Source organism: Homo sapiens, chromosome 6 (genome assembly GCF_000001405.40).
Source record: "Homo sapiens chromosome 6, GRCh38.p14 Primary Assembly".
Taxonomy (NCBI): Eukaryota; Metazoa; Chordata; class Mammalia; order Primates; family Hominidae; genus Homo; species Homo sapiens.
In genome coordinates, this window is record NC_000006.12 from 17,652,974 (window position 1) to 17,676,846 (window position 23,873).

A 23,873-nucleotide genomic window follows, 5' to 3' on the forward strand; every position below is an offset into this window, starting at 1 on the left:
AGCTGAGACCACGCCATTGTACTCCAGCCTAGCATTTGGTAGGCCGAGGCGGGTGGACTGCCTTAGCTCAGGAGTTTGAGACCAGCCTGGGCAACATGGTGAAACCCTGTCTCTAATGAAATATAAAAAATTAGCCGGGCATGGCAGTGTCCGCCTGTAATCCCAGCCACTTGGGAGGCTGACACGGGAGAGTTGCTTGAACTTGGGAGGTGGAGGCTGCAGTGAGCCAAGATCGTGCTACTGCACTCCAGCCTGGGCGACAGAGCGAGGCTCCATCTCAAAAAAAGAACTGAACAGACACCTCACAAAAAAAGATACACAAATGGCCAATGAGCACATAAAAAAGAACACAATACTATTAGTCATCAAGGAAATGCAAATTAAAATTACAATGAGATACCACCACACACAAACCAGAATGACTAAAATTTAAAAGATGACTATCAACTATTGGTAAGGATACAAACTAAATAAAATGTTCATACACTGCTAAGAGGGATATAAAATGGCACACTTTAGAAAACAGTATGATGGCTCCTTAGAAAGTTAAACATACAACTTAGCACCTCTTCTTCCAGGTATTTACCCCAGAGAAATAAATTTATTTACGAAAAGACCTGAACAAGAATGTTCCTAGTAGCTTTACTCACAATAGCCAGGGACAAAAGGATACATAGTGAGTAACTATATGAAGTTGCAGAACAAGTGAAACCAGTACATGGTGGAAAAAATGAGAACAGTGATTGCCTCTGGGGTAGGAGGTGACGGCAACTGACTGAGAAGGAGGACAACTGAAATTTCTAGGATGATAGAAATATTCAATCTCTTGATAGGGCTTGCATTACACAGATGTAAGCATTTGTCAAATTTATTAAATGGCACACCTAAGAATTTAACATTTCACTATATGTCAATTTTGCTATGTTATAAAAAGAACAACAAATATTTAACTCTACTTCACGCTATGTATGCTGACGTATTTGGGGGTGAAGTGTACTAATGTCTTCAACTATCTTTAAAATGCACCAAAAAATAAAAAAAGATGGACAGGTAAATTTTTCTTTTTTGATAAAGCAAATGTAACACAAAATGTTGGAATCTAACTGCTACTGTGTGTATACGCTGCACAGTTCTTTCAACATTTCATGTTTGAAATTTGTCATAATCAACTGAGGGAGGAGGAACAAACAAAAGATGCATCTGGCTATTTTTGTAGGGAAGCTTCTCTTCTCTGTCCAACCTCCAGCGTAGAACCCTAAAAACATCAACTATATAATCTACTCTCTCATGCCAACTCCTTAAGGCACACACTTGTCCACACTGGTTCCTTATATTACTGACCTTGAACCAATTTTTTTTTTTTTTGAGACGGAGTTTCGATCTTGTTGCCCGGGCCGGACTGCAGTGGTGCGATCTTGGCTCACTGCAACCTCTGCCTTCTGGTTTCAACCGATTCTCCTGCCTCAGCCTCCCAAGTATCTGGGACTACAGGCACCTGCCACTACGCCCAGCTAATTTTTGTATTTTTAGTACAGACAGGGTTTCACCATGTTGGCCAGGCTGGTCTCGAATTCCTGACCTCGTGATCCGCCCACCTCGGCCTCCGAAAGTGCTGCGATTACAGGCATGAACCACCGCGCCCAGCTGACCTTGAACCAATTCTATCATTTGATTTCTACTCCCCCAAATTTTGACTTAGTAGATCATAAGTGGGTCCCACTAATCTAAGAGGAAAAAAAAGCCAAGAATTCTGCTAACTTGATGCTTAGAGACATCTCAAGTAGAACACACATTTCACAATTCACTATCTAATACCTTTGTAATATCCTTACATGGGTTATCTCATATGAGGTAGATACTATTGTTACATATGAAGAAAGTAAGGCAGGGAGATATATGGCATAATACCATACAGCTATTAAGTGGCAGAAATCTTACAGACATGAACACAATATTTATTCTTATTTCCATTTTACAGATAAAAAAACTGAGGAGGTACACAAGAGGTTAATTTGACCAAGGTCACCCAGCTAGTAAGTGGCAGGATTATACAAGACAAGAGCAAGCAATTAAGTCTCTCCAAACTCAAGTCTTCTTATATACTGCTACATGTTTTGTATACTGCTACATGTTTTGTATCAATGAGCTTTTTAACAACACACACAAAAAAACTCATGGATTGATTGGTAGGACAGTAAAAGCAAAAGGCCAATATATTTAATGACTACAATCCTTGCACATTTTAGAATCCAGGATAAGGTGAAAGGTAAAAGATCATTCCAAATGGGTAATTTTACATATAGAGTTCTATTAACCTGAATTTAATGGATCAGAATACATCCATTCCTGCTAAATAGCAACACTATCTGAAATCAGTTAGCATAATGTGTTTACATTTCATTAAAACTAAATCTCTTCCATGTCACTCTTCCAAAGGCCCATGAAAATGCCGCCCCCACAAAAATAACTTTAATCTTATTATTACTTTTTTTTTTTTTAAGACAAAGTCTCAATCTGTCACCCAGGCAGGAGTGCAGTGGTACGATCTCAGCTCACTGCAACCTCCCCCTCCCAGGTTCAAGCGATTCTTCTGCCTCAGCTTCCCGAGTAGCTGGGATTACATGTGCCCGCCATCACACCCGGCTAATTTTTGTGTTTTTAGTAGAGACGGGGTTTCACCATGTTGGCCAGGCTGGTCTCGAGCTCCTGACCTCAGGTGATCTGCCGGCCTCAGCCTTCCCAAAGTACTGGGATTACAGGTGTGAGCCACCGTGACCAGCCAATCTTTTAATTTTTTACCAAAAATTCCCACTAATTATAACTGAAGAAAGAAACAATTTGTGGTCTCAACATATCTGACTTCTGATGCAAACAAGCAGCACTGCATTCAAAACAACTATATAATTGTGTATCCAAACCTATTCTATACAGATATAAAACACAAGGTAGGGCTGGGCGCAGTGGTTCAACCCTGCAATCCCAGCCCTTTGGGAGGCCAAGGTGGGTGGATCTCTTGAGGTCAGGAGTTTGAGACCAGCCTGGCCAACATGGTGAAACCCCATCTCTACTAACAATACAAAATTTAGCTGGGCATGGTGGCGTACGCTTGTAATCCCAGCTACTCAGGAGGCTGAGGCAGGAGAATTGCTTGAACTCAGGAGGTGGAGGTTGCAGTGAGCCAAGATTGCGCCACTGCACTCCACCCTGGGAGACAGAGCAAGACTCTGACAAATAAATAAACAAACAAACCACAAGGTGGGCAGAAAGTGTGGGGCCAACATCACATTAGTACCTCTTTCCTCAGAAATGTGGACATTATAACTTCAGGGTGGAACAGAGCCAGTGATGGGAAGGACTGGGTGAAGAATCCTGTGACACAAAATTGGCAGTTGGCCAGAATGAAGAGAAGAGGCCCAAAGAGGGGAGGAGGTGATACAAACATGAGTGAAGAGGAGTTTTTTTTATTTGTTATTTTTTTAAAGACAGAGTCTCCCCAGCTGGGGTGATCCTCCCACTTCAGCCTCCCTGGTAGCTGGGACCACAGGCGCTAACCACCATGCCTGGTTAATTTTTGTTATTTTTTTGTACACGTGGGGTTTTGCCATGTTGCTCAGGCTAATCTCAAACTCCTGGGCTCAAGCAAACCTCCAAACTTAGGGGGCACCAGGTTTTTGAAGAAAGGAAAGCTTTACTTAGATAACCAACAAGGAAGACAGGAGTCCAGCTCAAATCTGTCTCCCCGCAAATTGGCCTTAAGGTAGTATGTTTATTAGGAAAGGTTTAGGGGGTAGATTCTGGGGAAGGAAAGAGGAAGTCTGAAAAGTCCTTCGACGTGCACAGTTGTCTCTTCATGCCTCTTTATGGGCCACATGTGCAAATTCTGGAGTAGCTGGAATGAAATGTGGAAATTTGGGCTGTGATGTCAGCAAGCTCAGTCTGCACAGACTCTAGTTGGTCATATTAGTTCCAGCCAATTTCAGTCAGTTTTGTTATCTTGCAAGTGGAGAGGGCTTTAGCAAGCTGTTTCTTATCTGCCATCTTGTAAGTTCAAGAATACCTGTTAGCCACTGATTTCTTTAATTCTTTGGAGCATGGCTTCACCTTCAGCTTCAGTTTTTAAAAATAAAAGTTCTGAGATCTTCGGCTGAAGCTCAGGTTGATTATTTATAGCTTAGTTTTGGCTGTCTTGCAGATACATGTTTGGTGTGACTTTGCTGTACTGAACAGTTTATTAATATTAATAATATTTTGCTCTTATTTGTCCGGTATACTAAAAATTATTTTCTGGCTAGGCACAGTGACTCACACCTGTAATCCCAGCACTTTGGGAAGCAAGGCGGGTGGGGATCACTTAAGGCCAGGAGTTCGAGACCAGCCTGGACAACATGGCAAAACCCCGTCTCTACTAAAATAAAAAAATAAAAAAATAAAAAAAAAAAAAATAGCTAGCCTTGGTGGTGCATGCCTGTAATCCCAGCTACTTGGGAGGCTGAGACATGAGAATCACTTGAACTCAGGAGGTGGAGGGTGCCATGAGCCAAGATCGTGCACTCCAGCCTGGGCAACAAATAGAGTGAGACCCTGTCTCAAAAAAAACAAAACAAAACCTGGTGCCATGGTATTGGCTTCTGTGCTCATCAGGCAGTAAGGGAAATGAGCAGTATCTATACAATGCATCATCTGGCAAATAAAGCTAACCTGTATTTTCCTCATACAGAGATAAACTTCACAAAACATGCTACAGATTTTACCAGGAAATGTAAAAACTTGTCAAAAAAAATAAGCTCATGGTATATGAATCAGATATTAGGTTGGTGCAAACGTAATTGCAGTTTTGCATTATAACAATTTGCCACTTGATAATTGGAATACATTCTTAAATGTGGTTACATTATACATCATTTTAATGCAAATTTCTTGCTTTATGTTTTTTAGCTGATGACTTACTACTTGCTATTTATTTTATATTATTTTAGACTGTGGAAATGATGTTAGACAAAAGACAAGTTCGAGCGATTTTCTTATTCGAGTTCAAAATGGGTTGTAAAGCAGCAAAGACAACTTGCCAACATCAACAACACATTTGGCCCAGAACTGCTAATGAACATACAGTGCAGTGGTGGTTAAAGAAGTTTTGCAAAGGAGGCTGGGCGTGATGGCTCACGCCTATAATCCCAGCACTCTGGGAGGCTGAGGCAGGCAGATCATTTGTCAGGAGTTCAAGACCAGCCTGGTCAAGATGGTGAAACCCTGTCTCGCTAAAAATACAAAAAATTAGCTGGGCCTGTGGCACATGCCTGTAATCACAGTTACTCGGGAGGCTGAGGCACAAAAATAGCTTGAACCCAAGAGGCAGAGGCTGCAGTGAGCTGAGATCATGCTACTGCCCTCCAGCCTGGGCCACAGAGCAAGACTGTCTCAAAACAGAAAACAAAACAAAACAAAACAAAACACCCAAAGAAGCACACAATAACAACAAAAAACAAAGTTTGCAAAGGAGACGAGAGCCTTGAAGATGAGAAGCATAATGGCCAGCCACTGGAAGTTGACAATAACCAGTCACTGGAAGTTGACAAGGACCAATTGAGAGCAATCATCAAAGCTGATCCTTTTAAACTACACAAGAAGTTGCCAAAGAACTCAACGTTAGCCATTCTATGGTCATTCACCATTTGAAGAAAATTGGAAAGGTGAAAAAGCTCAATAAGTGGGTGTCTCACAAGCTGAGTGAAAATTTAAAAAATTGTTTTGAAGTGTCGTCTTCTCCTATTCTATGCAACAACAAACCATTTCTCAGATTGAGACATGGGACAAAAAGTGGATTTTATACGATAACCGGTTACGACCAGCTCAGTGGTTAACCAAGAAGTAGCTTCAAAGCACTTTCCAAAGCCAAACTTGCACACAAAAAAAGGCCATGGTCACTGTCTGGTGGTCTGCCGCCGGTCTAATCCACTACAGCTTTCAGAATCCCAGCGAAACCACTACATCTGAGAAGTCTGCTCAGCAAATCAATGAGATGCACCAAAAACTGCAATGTCTGCAGCTGGCATTGGTCAACCGAAAGGGCCTACTTCTCTACAACAACACCCAATGGCACACTGCACAACCAACGCTTCAAAAGTTGAAGGAATTGGGCTACAAAGTTTTGCCTCATCTGCCATATTCACCTGACCTCTCGCCAACTGACTATCACTTCTTCAAGCATCTCGAAAACTTTTTGCAGGGAAAACACTTCCGCAACAGCGGGATGCAGAAAATGCTTTCCAAGAGCTTGTCGAATCCCAAAGCACAGATTTTTGTGCTATAAGAATAAGCAAATTTATTTCTCGTTGGCAAAAATGTGTTGATTGTAGTGGTTCCTGTTTTGTTCAATAAAGATGTGTTTGAGCCTAGTTAAATAATGATTTAAAATTCATGGTCCAAAACCCCAATTACTTTTGTACCAACCTAATAAATTCCTTATTTACACAAGGTAAGACAGCCCATTTCTTTTGTTTTTGTTTTGTTTTGTTTTTGAGACAAAGTCTCGCTCTGTTGCCAGGCTGGAGTACACTGGTGCAATCTTGGCTCACTGCAACCTCCACCTCCAGGGTTCAAGTGATTCTCCTGCCTCAGCCTCCCGAGTAGCTGGGACTACACACATACGCTATCACACCCAGCTAATTTTTGTATTTTTAGTAAAGACGGGGTTTCATCATGTTGGCCAGGATGGTCTCGATCTCTTGACCTCGTGATCCGCCCGCCTTGGCCTCCCAAAGTGCTGGGATTACAGGCATGAGCCACCGTGCCCAGCCGCCAACCCGTTTCTTAAATATAATTAATAAAGAGCTTTAATGACAAAAGAAAATTGGTTTGCTACAAAACCTATAAAATTTATATACTGTTTGTATGATCAATGGCATTCAAGGTATTTCCTTTTCAGATAATGATATACAGTAATAGATTCCCTCCCTTCACAACACTCTAGTAGAGTGAGAAACAGAGACTAAAGGAAAGACAGAGCCTCCAGACCAGCAATAGAGCCAAGTCTACTAACATAATCCCAAAGCTCATTACAAGTCAATTTATATGGCAGAAAGTGAAAACTGCCAAGGAGGTCATAATTCTGGTGAGCTATAGTACTGCTAGCTAGGAAAAGCATAGTTAAAAGGAAGCAAGGCATCACACTCCAAACCTGCAGAGCAAAATACCAATAGGCATGAAGAAATCTAAGACATCCAACAACTTCAACCAAAACATGATTTTGTTTCTGTCAATATAAATAGGAAAAGCATGTTTAAAAAGCTAAAAATATACTCCTAAAACTCATTGGTCAATGAGGGAGTCACTGGTGAAATTTTAATTAGAAACAAATGACAAATACAAGGACTATGTATCAAAACTCAAATGGTTAAGCTAAGCTGAAATGCATTTATAATACAACTAAAATGAGACTTGCATTCAACTTAAAGTAGTTAGAAAAAAAGAGCAATATATAGACAGAAAGGTTAATGTAACCAATCTTAAATCTGTCCCTATCTTTTCCAAACATTTATGGTCAGAATATATAGAGAACTCTTTCTAATAATAAATTATATATACATATACATACATATTTCTTAATATACATATAAGAAATTATATATATATCCCTACAGGAAATAACCCCATAGGAAAAAAATGGATCAAGAGAAAACTCAAATGTCCAAAAAACACACAAAAGGATGCCCCAAGATCTATCTATTGTCATATGGTGGAAATGTTGAACTGCAAAACTATCTTGAAGAGAAAACATGGCAACATCTAATACAGCAGAAGATGTGGATCATCCCCTATAATCCAACAATTCCATTCCTAGATAAATACTCTAGAGAAAATACTGCACGTGTGCAGACAGAAAAGTGCATATTCACTTTAATGTGTATTAGAAATCTACCAAAATGTATCCTGATGGCAGAATGGATTACGGTAAATCTTCAAACTGGATAAATATATAAGCAGTGAAATTAAAAAACTTACAGTTACCTTTCACAATACAACATCAAAAAAGGAGAAACAGGCAAGCAAGAAGAAGACAGGCAGGGCACGGTGGCTCTCGCCTGTAATCCCAGCACTTTGCAAGGCCGAGGCAGGTGGATCACTTGACATCAGGAGTTCGACCCAGCCTGGCCAACATGGTGAAACCCCATCTCTACTAAAAATACAAAAATTATCCAGGTGTGGTGGCAAATGCCTATAGTCCCAGCTACTTGCGTGGCTGAGGCACAGGAATTGCTTGAACCCAGGAGGCAGAGGTTGCACTGAGCCGAGACTGCGCCACTGCACTCCAGCCTGAGCGACAGAGCAAGACTGTATCTTAAAAAAAGAAGAATACGTATAGTATTAATCCTATTTATGAACTTATTTACGTATGTTTTACAAACAGACAAAACTATACAGTAATACCAAGGGTCAAATAATTTCAATTGCAATTCCCTTATTTGAAAAAGTATGGGTAGTTTTGTTTTGTTCTATGATACCCATGAAATTTAAGGTACTAGATTAGGTTTTCAGCATGCATTTTGAAAGAACTGATTCAATAGCAGATTAATTTTGCTCTGGGTCTCTTCGAACCCCACCCCTACAGGTCTCCCCTTACCACCACCACACCAATGCTTTTTAAATAAACCTCAAGAGTATATGAGTATACAACCCTACCTCCTCCTCCAGAGGTTTAGAAGCAACAAAGCGTGTTCTTTCTCGTCTCATCTTGCCACCTCCACCACCTACTCCAGAAGATAAACCATTGGCTGCAGGCAAACTGAAATTTGGATATGAAAAGCCACTGGCAAATAAAAAGAAAATTAAAACAACTGATATATTATTGTGGTCCATAACTTGTTAACTAGAACTGCTAACAAGTAAAAAAAAAATATACAGCTGAACGTGATTCTAAAATCTTAGATTTCTTTATATAAAGTTTCTGTTCTTTGATTTTAATCTTCAAAAAGGTACATGTAAATTAAATACAGACCTTACAAGTTAAATATAAAGAAGTATAGCTGTATAAGAAATGACAGTACCTTTCTCGTTGTTCTCTATTTTGTCCGGGTGTCATATTTTTTTCATATCCAGTCTGCAGGGGAAATACACACATATTTACGTTTGCTTATTTGTTGTAATTTTCTTAGTACCACCTTGCTTCCTATTAATTTTAATATTTAGAATCAGGAATTTGATGGCTTTTTAGTTAATGAATCCTGAAATTTGAAATTACACCCTGCCTTCTGAATGGTAACCAAGAGTTACAGTGAGATTATATATATGAAAAATGTCAGTGAGCACAATCATTATTTTAATAAAATGGTAGTATACAGACAATACACTCACTAACCTAACCACAAAATTACTTTACTTATCCCTCTTTTTGTCCTGTTAATTGTGCAACCAAATATACAAAGCTATTCCTTTCGAAATAGCTCCCTACAACTTAAAGAATTAATACTTCCACTGAAAGGAATCAAGACTTCTTGGAAAAATGGCTGATTACAGGGCTGGGGCAGGAAATGCATGTGATGAGCCTGAATTATCTTATAATATCAAAAACCAATTAAGTGCTCAAAAAGATACAGGCAAGAATCATCAATAATGCTAACACTAGTGGCTGAAAAGAATATAATTGGGAAGTTTCCTTCCCACAAAATACTTATTCATTACGAAAGGTAAAATAGTAATTTTATAGTAGAGAATCCTCACAGACACCACTTTATGTAATAACCACACTGCCAGGAATGGGACAAACTGGTAGCCTGTGCCTTCTGAACAGTGAGAACAGCTCAGCACACTCCCTCAACGGTCTTCACTGCCAAAAGTAGGTAACTGAAATCTAATCATGAGGAAACATCAGACAATCATAAAACTGCAGAACATTCTACAAAATAACTGGCTTCTATACTTCAAAATTATCAATATTGTGAAACACAAAACAACAAGAACAAAAAACAAAAGGAACTGTTCTAGACTAAAGGAGATGAAGAGACATGACAACTAAATGCAAGACATGATGTTAGAATTTCTTCTTTTAGGCCAAGTGACAACATGTAAATAGAATCTGTAGATTACAGTGTTGTGCCAATGTTAAGTTTCTGGGTTTGACCACTGCTATGCATTATGTAAGGGAACTCCTTGTTAATAAGAACACAGAGAAAAAGATAGAGCAAATGTAGTAAAATGTGAAGTTCATGAAATTTTTCTTGCAAATCTGTAGAAGTCCAATATTATGCTAAAAAGAAAAAAATACACACACACACACACACACACACACACATATATATATATATATTTTGAGTCAGGGTCTTACTCTCTCACCCAAGCCAGAGTGCAGTGGTGCTATCACAGTTCACTTTAGCCTCGAACTCCTGGGCTCTCACGTGATCCTCCTACCGCAACCTCCTGCCTTGCTAGGATTACAGACACGCACCACCACATCTGGCTAATTTTTTTATTTCTTCTAGAGATAAGGTCTTGCTATGGTGCCTGGGCTAGTCTTGAATTCCTGGACTCAAGTGATCCTTCTGCCTGAGCCTCTCAAAGCACTGGGATTATAGGCATGAGCCACCATGATCACACTATGTTCAAAATATTTTTCAAAATTTTAATGTTAACTTAAAAGTATGGAGGGAGATAAAGCAAATATGACAAAATGTTAATGACTGGTGAATCAACATAAAGAAATACATGGCAAATCACTGTACTAATCTTTCTAAGTTTCAAGGTTTTCAATAAATTGAGTTGTTAGAAATGAGATAAAATATAACTAAAGGCATAAACAATAAGGTGTTAAGTAAACAAAATAAATACAAGTTAAATGACACAAAAAACCAGACAAACCCAGATTATGGGACATTTTATAAGACAACTGGCCTGGTCTCTTCAAAAACCTATGATCCAGCAATTCTATTTCTAGGTATAAACCCAAGAGAAATAAAAACATGTCCACACACACAAACACACAAAAAAACACTTATACATAAATGTTGACAGGAGCATTATTCATTACAGCCAAAAAGTAAAACCAACCCCAATGTCCTTCAAGTGATTAATGGATAAAACAAAATCTAGTATATCCATACAATGAAATATCTACAAAATCTAGTATTCCTTACAATGAAATATTATTCAGCCATAAAAAGGGAAAAAATGAAGTACTGATACATACTACGACGTGAATGAACCTTGAAAACACTATGCTAAGTGGCTACTGACGGGTATGGGTATGAGATTTTCAAAGGGTGGGAGAGATGGTAATACAAATGTTCTAAAATTTACCATTATGATGGCTTAACAGTTGAACAACTCACAGACACCACTTTATTTATAAAGTGTTTTCCAAACATGCTAAAACCACTGAATTGAAAACTTTAAATAGGAGAATTGTATGATATGTGAATTATCTCAAGAAACAGAAACCAATGTGGCCAGGGTGAGGGTTTGAGGTCTGGAAAAACAAAACCAAAAGCAGTATCTGAACCTTGCTCGAGTCCTGGTTCAAAAAAGCAATTATGAAAAACGTTTCAATATGGACTGGATATTAGATAATTTTAAGGAATTAGAATTAATTTTCTTAGATGGGATAATATAGGACAAAGTACTTAGGAGATGCATATCAAAGTACTTAGGGTTCAAAAGATAATGTCTGAAATTTACTTGCAGATAGTTCAACACCACCACATGAAAGAAACAGATAAAGCAAATCCGGCAAAATTATGTAACCTAAACAATGGGTACATGCTAGAGTTTACTAGTCAACACTAACTTAAGATCTGACCAAGGTAGTGGCCAGGCGCGGTGGCTCACATCTGTAATCCCAGCACTTTGGGAGGCCAAGGCAGGTGGGTCACTTGAGGTCAGGAGTTCGAGACCAGCCTGGCCAACATAGTGAAACCCTGTCTCTACTAAAAATACAAAAATTAGCTGGGTGAGGTGGCACATGCCTGTAGTCCCAGCTACTCGGGGGGCTGAAGCAGGAGAATCACTTGAACCCGGGAGGCAGAGGTTGCAGTGAGCTGAGACCATGCCATTGCACTCCACCCCTGGAGACAGAGTGAGACTCCGTCTCAAAAAAAAAAAAATTTGATCAAGGTGACAGCTATTTTAAAAGCATACCAATTCATAATCATCACTAATTCACAACCTTTATGTGTTATACAGTTGCTAGAATACAATGGTAGTTATATTTTACATTATTTAGTCTTACTTATTCTAATCAATATTCAAAGACTGGTAGAAATATACATATACTCACACTGCACTTGTTATCTATTCTTTGATTAGTCTTCCTGAATTCACCAGAAGGAGTCAGAGATGGTTTAAAATAAACACTTCGATTTGTTGCTATGGAAACTGGCTTTGGGGTCATAAGTCTCTGAACAGGAGGATATTGAGAATCCACCTTACAGGTAAAGAGAAATCAAAAACATTTATTTTCATATAAATCAATGATTCATATCTAAATTTTGACAATAGCTAACATGACCTAAAGACCATGAGTATTTCCCAGAGAAATATACAGTAGATACAAACAAATAAGAGGAAAAACTGATAATAATGGAACCTAAGGTATGTATTCATATACCTATGCACATAAATATACACACATATAATTCTAAAATGGCTTCACGGATACTCTATATTTCATTCCAGACTTAATGACTTTTCACACACATGCATGCATACAAAATGGAACTATATTCAAAACAGCACTACAGATCAAACCTTTTACAGTTTTTTGTTTTTTTTTTTTAAGAGACGGACTCCTGCTCTGTCACCCAGACCACAGCTCACTGTAGGTGAGACCTGGGTGATCCTCCCACCACAGCCTCCTGTGTACACAGGCGTGCGCCACCACACCCGGCTAATTTTTTTGGTTTTTTTTTGTAGAGACAGGGTCTCGCCATGTTGCTCAGGCTGGTCTCAAACTCCTGGGCTCAAGCAATCTGCCTGCCTCAACCTCCCAAAGTGCTGAGATTACAGACATGAGGCAACTCACCTGGCTTTTTTTTTTTTTTTTAAATGGAGACTAGGTCTTGCTGTGTTGCCCAGGCTGATCTCAAACTTCTGGGCTCAAGCAATCCTTCTGCCTCAGCCTCTCAAAGAGTGCTGGGATTACAGGCATGAGCCACTGCACCTGGCCCAGAGTGAATTTTAAATGCATGAACTAAAATGTACTTTTGTCACATTTTCCCTGAATTACTGTCCATATTTTTTGAGCTGCAAATAAGATATTTTAAAACTAGCTATGGGCCAGGCGTGGTGGCTCACACCTGTAATCCCAGCAATGTGGGAGGCCGAAGCAGGTGGATCATTTGAGGTCAGGAGTTTGAGACCAGCCTGGCCAACATGGTGAAAACGTCTCTACTAAAAATGTAAAAATTAGCCAGGCGTGGTGGCATGCGCCTGTAATCCCGGCTATTCAGGAGGCTGAGGCAGGAGAATCGTTTGAACCCGGAGGCAGAGCTTTCAATGGGCCGAGATTGTGCCACCGCACTCCAGCCTGGGAGACAGAGCAAGAGTCAGTCTCCCAAAACAAACAAAAAAACTAGCTATGAAAATATTTTAACTCCCAAAAATGTGACCGAATCCCTCTCCAAGTTATTTCCCCCATTGTTATTTAAATACCAAACCAAACCAAAAATCTTACAATGTAAGTCTAAATGGTAAATCACTGTTAAGACTTCCAAACTGTAAAATGAACTCAATTTATTATGTAAGTACACCAACTGTTTTGTTAACAGTCCTTTGCTAAACTGAAACATAGTAAAAATCCTGTTGGTATAAAACCACTATAAAGCCAGAAGCTTCTAACTCTGTCCAAAGACTGTAATCCTATGAATAAGGTCCTTTCATTCAGCAGCAGCTGTGAACAACATTGGTTTCCAGGGCAAAGCCTCTGTATGGTTACTAACTCTTCCCTAAAACCTCTTCGCAAATGTGACCTTACATACAACTCAATAAGAGAGTCTATTTTGTAGACTGTTCTGATAACATCTGTGAAACATGGGCTATGATACTGTATTCTGGCTTTTTATTTCTTAGCACCCATTAATAAACTTTTATGGATACGATACTCAACCATTAGTAAAACTGTTATTGATAAGAACTTACATTATGACATAATTTTAAAATTTCACCTCTTATTATAAAATAACCTGATATAAATGAGGGGTTGAGAAAAGCTAGTAGCTTAAATTAAGCCCATCATAGAAACTACTAATAGATTCCTTCTTGCCTAATTCCAAATGTCTAGGTAATTCCAAAAATTGAGAAGCAACACTCTTCCAATAAAAAGTTCAATATTAGCTTTCTTTGCATCAGAATTTCATTACAGATAATAATTTATCAATATCTTAGTCATTGCAATTAATTCATAAAATTATAATTTAAATAATTACTTTTGAGGAACTTGGTATTCCAAGAAATGTTTTCAAAAGAAAAATCCAAGCCAGGCACGGTGGCTCACGCCTGTAATCCCAGCACTTTGGGAGGCCGAGGCGGGCGGATCACGAGGTCAAGAGATCAAGGCTACCCTGGCTAATACGGTGAAACCCCATCTCTACTAAAAATACAAAAAATCGGCCAGGCATGGTGATAGGCGCCTGTAGTCCCAGCTACCTGCGAGGCTGAGGCAGGAGAATTGCTTGAGCCCTGGAGGTGGAGGTTGCAGTGAGCTGCGACTGTGCCACTGCACACTCCAGCCTGGGTGACAGAGCGAGACGCTGCCTCAAAAAGAAAAGAAAAAAAAGAAAAATCCAACAGTCTGCTTTCCCTGAAGGATGCTTAACCAGCTATAAATAAACTAACAAAAGATACCTCTTTAACCCAAACTATCAAACATTGTATTTTTTTCCCACAGTAACCGCCAAAGTTAATTTTAAGCAAATAGGATATATTAAAAGGGCAGCAAGATATAATGATCAACTTTATCAGTTCCACTATCTTGAAACAGTATTTTGTTTGGCTGATGAGAGATCTGCCTAATTGAAATTCTACTACACACAATAGATTTCACAAAATTTTGGTTAATGAGGAAAGTATACAAAGATGATGATGTGCAATGAGGACTTTAGTTTACTGAACTTTTTTTTTTTTTTTTTTTTTTTTGAGATAGAGTCTCACTTTGTCTCCCAGGCTGGAGTGCAGTGGCGCGGCCTCGGCTCACTGCACCCTCCGCCTCCCGGGTTCAAGTGATTCTCCTGCCTCAGCCTCCGGAGTAGCTGAGATTACAGGTGCGCACCGCCACACCTGGCTAATTTTTTTTTGTATTTTTAGTAGAGACAGGGTTTCACCATGTTGTCCAGGCTGGTTTTGAACTCCTGACCTCAAGTGATCCACTGGCCTGGGCCTCCCAAAGTGCTAGGATTACAGGCGTAAGCCACCGCACCTGGCCGATCACTCCTATTTTTATTTATCAAAAGGTAACAGTAAGCCATAAAGTCTGTCAAGATCCTCAAGATGGAAATGCTGAATAGCCCAAAAAAAAATTGGATGAGTATCTACTACATATACAATATTGTCCTGAGGACTGCAGAAGAGAGTAAAATGTCCAAGTAGAAGAATACTATTTTTCAGGGTCAGGCACAGTGGCTCACACCTTAGTCCCGGCACTTTGGGAGGCCACGGCAGGCAGATCACCTGAGCTCAGGAGTTTGAGACCAGTCTAGCCAAAACGGTGAAACCCTATCTCTACTAAAAATACAAAAATGAGCAGGGCATGATGGCACGTGCCTGTAATCTCAGTTACTAGGGAGGCTGGGGCACGAGAATCGCTTGAACCTGGGAGCCATAGGTCGCAGTGAGTCAAGATGGCACCACTGCACACCAGTCTGGATGACAGAGCGAGACTGAGACTCAAAAAAAAAAAGAATATTATTTTTCAAACATGTTCCCTAATGTCTAAACTAAATCCAATTTGTATACTTGTGAACTTTAAACACAACAAAATTGTAGACAGTTTAAATAACTAAATGCTAAAGAAGTTTTACCTTTTCTCTTTTGGCCTGAAAATCTGTGATATCTATCCCACTCCTATCAAGAGGCTGAAAAAAAAAAAAAACACTATTAGAATAGATGGGGAGTTATGAAAAATACCTTTTTTTTTTTTTTTGAGATGGAGTCTCACTCTGTCGCCCAGGCTGGAGTGCAGTGGCGCGATCTTGACTCACTGCAACCTCTGCCTCCCAAGTTCAAGTGATTCTCCTGCCTCAGCCTCCCAAGTAGCTGGGACTACAGGTGTGCACCACCACACCCGGCTAATTTTTGTATGAACAATATTTTGTAAAAAGGTTTAAATCTCAACTTACAGAATTCAGAGGAGAAGAAACAATGGATGGAATTCTTTTTGCATCCTGTTAAAGTTGAAAAAATAACAAAATTAAGATTTTTCAATAATATCAAGTTTTGTTACACTCCTGTATTAATCGTGATTTTAAAAATTTACCGCTAAAGGGCTTGACATCTTCTCTAAAGACTGCAATATTCGCCGAGCTGTTGAACTGGTCACACCGTAAGATTGTGCACTGAGTTGCTTAGCTTTCATTTGTCTTCTAACTGGTGCCTGTAAAGTAAACCCTATATTATTTGTTGCAACATAAAATCTAAGGCACATATTTCATGCAGTGAAAATATTTACAAGATAGAATGGATGTCCAAAGTAAAACAGGATTTAATGCATTAACAGCAATTTATCTTTGGGTGGTATCATTAAAAGTTCAATTTTTTTCTTTATGCCTTTACTGGAAATCCAATTCTCTGATTGAGAAATTACCTTTACAATAACAAAAGAATGATAAGACAGCATGCACCATTTTAAAGAAAGTATGGGCCGGGCATGGTGGCTCATGTCTGTAATCCCAGCACTTTGGGAGGTGTGAGGAGGGCGGACTGCCTGAGCTCAGGAGTTCAAGACCAGCCTGGGCAACATGGTGAAACCCCATCTGTATTAAAATACAAAAAATTAGCCAGGCGTGGCAGTGTGTGCCTGCAGTCCCAGCTACTCGAGAGGCTGAGGCAGGAGAACTGCTTTGAACCCAGGAGGCGGAGGTTGTGGTGAGCCGAGACTGCACCACTCTACTCCAGCCTGGGCAACAGAGCGAGACTCTTTCTCAAAAAAAAAAAAAAAAAAAAAAAAAGTACTACACGCTAGCTTAAGCTTTAGAAAAAGCTCTCTACATACTTACACCATTCTGTTAACCCCTTCGGTAATAACAGAATACTGTCCTCCACCAACACTCAGAAATAAGTCTCATAATTACTGTTAATTATATATGGGAGAATAAACAGGAAAGCAAGTACAACATCTAAAAACAAGACAAAAATCTTCAAATATAGGCATTTCATAGTCACTGCTGCCAATATATGTATATAAATACAACAGACTTTTGTATATTGACCTTGTATCCTGTGACCCTGTTAAACTCGCTTATTAGTTGTGGTGGCTTTTTTTGTATTTTCTTTGGATTTTTCTACGTAGATAAGCATGTTATCTGTGTACAGTAAAAATATTACAGGAATAATACCCTTTCCAATCTGCATGCATTGATTTCTGTGCCTACTGCACTGGCTAGCACCTGCAGTATGATGTTAAACAGTAGCAGTGATAGCAGACATCCTTGCTTGCTTCCTCATACCATTAAGTATGTTGCCAGATGATTTTTTTGTAAATGCACTTTATCAGGTAGAAGGATCTCAACTATACCTAGGTTTGTTCAAAAATTTTTATCATGACTAAATGTTGGATTTTTAAAAAATATTTTATGTATCTATAGAGATGTTCATATAGTACTCTTTAGATTGTTTACATGGTAAATCCCATTAATTTTTTATTTTTTATTTTTTTTTAGACAGAGTCTCAGTCTGTTGCCCAGGCTGGAGTGCGGTGGCACAATCTCGGCTCACTGCAACCTCCGCCTCCCAGGTTCAAATGATTCTCCTGCCTCAGCCTCCCGAGTAGCTGGGATTACAGGCACGTCCAACTGCAACCGGCTAATTTTTGTATTTTTAGTAGAGATAGGGTTTCACCATGTTGGCCAGGCTGGTCTCGAACTCCTGACCTCAGGTGATCTAAGGCCTTCCAAAGTGCTGGGATTACAGGCATGAGCCACCACACCTGGTCTAATCCCATTAATTTTCATATGTTGAGTCAACCTTGCCTTCCCAGGATAAACCCCACTTGATCATGATGCAGTTTCCTTTTTAAATTTGTTGGATTCCATTTACAAATATTTTTGTTGAGGTTTGTGTCTATAATTCATGAGAAATAATAGTCTGTTGCTGTCTTCTAATGTCTTTGTCTGATTTTGGTCTCGGGGTAATAATGTTGGCCTCATAAAAGGTACTGGGAAGTGTTCCCTACTCTCCTACTATACATAAGAGTTTGTGTAGAATTGGTATTATTTCTTTCTTAAATGTTTGGTAGGATTCACCAGGGAAGCTATCTGAGCCTGAAGCTTCTTTGCTGGAACGTATTTTAAATTATGAACTCAATTCACTGAAAAGATAAAAGTTATTCAGGCTACATATTCTTGACTAATACCAAATAACAAAAGTCTAACAAATAAGTCTAACAAAATATGTTCGAGATCTGTATGCTGAACACTACAAAACACTGATGAAAAAAATTTATAAACCACCTAAATGGGAAGATATACCATGTTCATGGTTTGGAAGACTCAATTTTGTTAAGATGCCTATTCTCCCCAAATTGGTCTTTAGACTCAAATGCAATCTCAATCATGGCTGGGCATGCTGGCTCATACCTATAATACCAGCACTTTTGGGAGGCCAAGGTGGGCGGATCACCTGAGGTCAGGAGTTCGAGACCAGCCTGGCCAACATGGTAAAACCCTGTCTCTACTAAAAATACAAAAATTAGTGGGGCATGGTGGTGTGTGCCTGTAGTCCCAGCTACTTGGGAGGCTGAGGCAGGAAAATTGTGTGAACCTGGGAGGTGGAGGTTGCAGTGAACCAAGATCATGCCACAGCACTTCAGCTTGGGCAACAGAGCAAGATCCCATCTAAAAAATAAAAAAAGCAATTCCAATCAAAATCCTAGCAGACTGTAGAAACAAGCCAATTTTAGATTTTTATAGAAAAGCAAAGGACCTAAAAAAGCCAAAACAAGCTTGAAAAAGAACAAAATTGGACTACTCACATCACCTAATTTTAAGACCTACCGGGAAGCCTATGGCAATCAAGACAGTGCAGTTGGCAAAAGGAAAGACACACAGATCAATGGGTGGGTCGGGGGAGGGATGGTCAAAAGTCCAGAAATAAAGCCATGTGAACTGGATTTCAACAAAGGTGCAGGCCAGGCCTGGTGGTTCATGCTTGTAATCCGAACACTTTGGGAAGCCAACACAGGAGGATCGCTTGAGCCCAGGAGTACAACACCAGCCTAGGCAACTTAGTGAGACCCTGTCACTACCAAAAAAAAAATTTAGCTGGGAATGGTGGCACACGCCTGTGGTCCCAGCTACTCAGGAGGCTAAAGTGGGAGGATCACTTGAGCCCAGGAGGTTCTGGTTGCAGTGAGCCATGATCGTGCCACTGCACTCCAACCTGTGTGACAGAGCAAGGCCCTGTCTCAAACAAAAACACAGAACAAAGACGGTGCAAAAGCTATTCAATGAACAAAGAACAGTCTTTTTAACAAATAACACTAGAACAATTGCACACCCATATGTTAAAAAAACAAAAAACAAAAAACAAAAAACCTTGGCCAGGCACACCTGTAATCTCAGAACTTTGGGAGGCTGAGGCAGGAGGATTGCTTGAGCCCAGCAGTTCAGGATCAGCCTGAGCAACGTAGTAAGACTCCTACCTTTCATTTTTTAAAAAAACTTTTTAATTTAGAAAATAAAATGAACCTTGACCAATACCTCATACCACACACAAAAATCTACTCAAAATGAATCATAGGCATAAATTAAAACCTAAAACTATAAAACTTGTAGAAGAAAACATAAGACAAAATCTTTGTGACATGGGATTATAATAGTAAAAATATCTCAGATACGACACCAAAAGCATGAAACCATTAAGAATACACACACACGCACACACACACACAAAAGATGTCATCAAAAGTAAAACTTCTGGCTGGGCGCGGTGGCTCACGCCTGTAATCCCAGCACTTTGGGAGGCCAACGCGGGTGAATCACAAGGTCAAGAGTTCGAGACCAGCCTGGCTAAGATGGTGAGAAACTCCGTCTCTACTAAAAATACAAAAATCAGCCAGGTGTGGTGGCAGGCACCTGTAATCCCAGCTACTCAGGAGGCTGACGCAGAGAATTGCTTGAACCCAGGAGGTGGAGGGTGCGCCACTGCACTCAAGCTTGGGCGACAGCACAAGACCTGTCTCAGAGAAAAAAAAAATAACAACTTCTGCTCTTCAAAAGACACTGTTAAGATACACCAGAGAATGGGAGAAAATATTCGCAAAACATATAACAAAGTATTTGTACCCTGAAAAATGAACTCTCTCAAAATTTATTAATAAGAAAATAACCCAATTTTTAAATGGGTGGAAGATTTGAACAGACACTTCACCAAAGAAGATATTTCACCAAAAGATAGGCTGATAGCAAATAAGCACCAAATAAACACATGAAAAGACATGCAACATCATTAGTCATTACGGAAGTACAAATCAAAATCAGAAGTTGGGGTTACCACTACATGCCTACTAGAATAGCAAAAACAAACAAAAAACCTGACACCACCAAGTGCTGACAAGGATGAACAGCAACTCTTATATTACCAGTCAGAATGAAACCTGGTACCAGCCACTCTGGAAAACAGTTTGGCAGTTTATTATAAAGTTTACTGTATACTTACCATATGACCCATCAATTCAACTCCTAGGTATTTGTATTTACCTGAGATGAAAATGAATGCTCACAAAAAACATTCATAGCAGCTTCATTCATAATTGCCAGAAACTGGAAACAACTCAGTGTCTTTTCACTGGTGAATAATAAACCAACTGTACTAACCATACTACTCAGCAATAAAAAGGAACTATTAAAAGATGCAAAAACAAATGGATCTCAAATGCATTATGCTAAGTAGAATAAGCCAGACTCAAAAGGTTACATATGACTAAACGTATATGACATTCTGGAAAGGCCAAAACTACAGAGAAAGAAAACAGATCCGTGGTTGCCAGAGGGTTGTAGGAGAAGGGTTGACTCAAGAGATACATAAGGTAACGTTTTGGGGTGATGAAAATGTCTGATCAATATTTGATTGTAGAAGTGGTTATATACATAATAATATGTTTTGTTAAAGCTCAAATACTCTAAAACAATGAAAAATTGTAGTATGTGTAATTTATACGTCATTTAAAAAAAAGAATCACATTTCTTGAGATACACGCACATATCTAATACATAAAACACTCACTTAGGTCTAAAATAATGTTTATATACCCTAAATGAAAAAAATATAACCCATAGCTGTTGTTTTCCCAAAGAACAATATTAAATCAAAACTACTGGCCGGGTGCAGTGGCTCACGCCTGTAATCCTAACACTTTGGGAGGCCGGGGTGGGCGCATCACGAGGTCAAGAGATCATCAAGACCATCCTGGCCAACACAGTGAAACCCGTCTCTACTAAAAATACAAAAAATTAGCTGGGCGTGGTGGCATGTGCCTGTACTCCCAGCTACTTGGGAGGCTAAGGCAGGAGAATCGCTTGAAACCAGGAGACGGAGGTTGCAGTGTGGTCCGAGATTGTGCCACCGCACTCCAGCCTGGGCGACAGAGCCAAGACTCCATCTCGAAAAAATATAAATAAAAGAAAAATAAAAAATAAATCAAAACTATTTTTTTGAGCACAAAGTAATTTATTATCCAGTTAAAGTGTAAAAAAAAAGAAAAAAAAAGATCATCAACCCTTCTATTGGAACCTACCTGATAAGGTGTATTTCGTAGTTTAGACTGTCTTACAGCAGCTGCTGCCCCACCGTATGTTGTTTTTCCAGGATAAAAAGGAGAATCTCCAAGCTGACTGGTTTTAAGGATTGAAGAATTCCCAAGTGACTGCACAGAAACAGAATGATAAATTATAAGCCATATGAACCCAGGAGGTGGAGGTTGCAGTGAGTTAAGATCATGCTGCTACACACTCAAGCCTGGGCAACAGCAAAAGACTCTTGTCTCAGAAAAAAAAAAAAAAATTATAAGCAATAAACACTCAAAACTAATGTGATTAAATCCAACCCAGTTAGTACTCACAGGGGAAAGTGTTCCAAAGGCAGACAAGTTGAATGCTGGTTTTTTTGAGCTGGTGGCAGTGTGCTGTGAGAGTGAGTGAGAACGTTCAGCTTCTGGGGACCACAGAGGTGGCAATGAAGTGTTCTTTGAAACAGTTATATCTGAAACAAAATTACATAATCCATAGTAATAACACCAATACAAGAGCCTAGATTTTTATAAATAGAAAATAAAAATTACAACCAAGTCAGAAAAAAAACCCATAAAATTTAATGTTACTACCCAAATTATGTACTACCACATGTCAAGAATACCTTTATCAGAAGCTCTTGAAGAAAAACCACTGGTAGTTGAGATGTTATCATCATCATGCTGAGAGGTAGAATCTTTAATTTCCTTTACAAGGGAAAATCCCGAACTGCCAATTGGGAATGCCGAGGATGTAGATGGCTGACAGTGTAATGCAGGGGATTCCAACATGGAAAAATTCAGATGGCTCCGATGAAGAGAAGGCCTTGTTAACACATCTGGATAATTTGAAGCAGTACTAGTTGTTGAAGGTTCTTAAAAGAAAAGCATTAATATTATGAATATACAACTTAGAGCGATACACTACCACAAATGGTTTTTACTTTAAGAAAACACATTACAGTATATAATAGCTTCAATTCAAATCACTGGGGCATCCCATAATAAGCCCAATATAACATACTCCTAGGCAAAACAAAGTTTCAACTAACTAAAATTAATTTAAATAAGAGCTAATTTTTTTAAACCAGTAAGAGTGATGTGATACGATACAACAGTTGAAATACAACTATTTTTTGCCAGTTGATTAAACCCATTCACTTTTTTGATGGTGTATTTTGTAATACAGAAAGTAACTTCTGCCTTATAGTCCTATCATTCTGAGACCATAAAAAATAAGTTTTACCCGTATTTTGATACTGTTGCTTTTATTTCAATATGTCTAATCTTGACTCCCATCTGAAATTAGTTATGATGCAGGAGTAAAGAAAGGATTCGGCTTCACTGTTTTCCAAATGGTTAACCTGTTTATAACCTAAGGTAATCTCTTAAATAAGCCATCCTTTCCTCAATGATTGAGAAGCCACTGTTACCACATACTAAACCATACTAAATTCCCAGAGTCTTTATTCCTCTCTTCCTCTAATGATGTATCTTTATACTTCTGCACGAGTACCAAATGTTTTAAATATTATGCTTTAGAATTTAATGCGTGTTGAAGTTACTCCACCCCACCTTCCCGTTATTAAAATATTAAATTATTAAAATAAATCATTTTTCAGAATTTGTCTTCAGAGGCATTTTCAAAAACTTTAGAATTGTTTCTAAAGTTCCCAAAAAGAGGCTTCCAGTTAGAACGGAATAAGTGGGACCAGACCAGTCCTTCTACTGTAAACAATTATAAGACTGGAGAAAAAATATGAAGCTACTGCTTTCAGACAGTGGAAAACAGCACAAAAAAAAACTCACAAGGTGAGCCCTACGATTACCCAGCTCTCTGTCTAGGAACATTTTCAGACCTTGAACAGAGACCTAGAGTCAAGTAAAACAGAGCGGGAAGAAATCAGAATTTAGGACACTGCAGAGTAGGGAACTGTGCAGAGAGGGTCTC

At 39.1% G+C, this 23,873-nt stretch overlaps 1 protein-coding gene across 3 annotated transcripts in view, besides 1 other annotated feature; it reads right to left on the reverse strand.

Annotated features, from left to right (window-relative positions):
• The window catches only part of NUP153 (nucleoporin 153), a 91,889-nt gene that overhangs the window by 37,937 nt on the left and 30,079 nt on the right, over nt 1-23,873 (reverse strand). For all 3 annotated transcript variants that reach the window (NM_001278210.2, NM_005124.4, NM_001278209.2), the window contains exons 3-11: nt 22,549-22,797; nt 22,256-22,395; nt 21,932-22,060; nt 16,457-16,573; nt 16,320-16,364; nt 16,002-16,055; nt 12,266-12,412; nt 9,045-9,097; nt 8,680-8,806 (exon numbers count right to left, since the gene is read on the reverse strand). In NM_001278210.2, coding sequence (NP_001265139.1) covers nt 8,680-8,806; nt 9,045-9,097; nt 12,266-12,412; nt 16,002-16,055; nt 16,320-16,364; nt 16,457-16,573; nt 21,932-22,060; nt 22,256-22,395; nt 22,549-22,797 — 1,061 coding nt within the window. The remainder of the gene's footprint in view (nt 1-8,679; nt 8,807-9,044; nt 9,098-12,265; nt 12,413-16,001; nt 16,056-16,319; nt 16,365-16,456; nt 16,574-21,931; nt 22,061-22,255; nt 22,396-22,548; nt 22,798-23,873) is intronic.
• Nucleotides 12,165-12,459: a silencer, noted in NCBI's record as "tiled region #5716; HepG2 Repressive non-DNase unmatched - State 15:Elon". NCBI's record gives its function as "represses a minimal TATA promoter and a strong SV40 promoter by Sharpr-MPRA in HepG2 cells {active_cell/tissue: HepG2}" and the evidence as "EXISTENCE:reporter gene assay evidence [ECO:0000049][PMID:27701403]".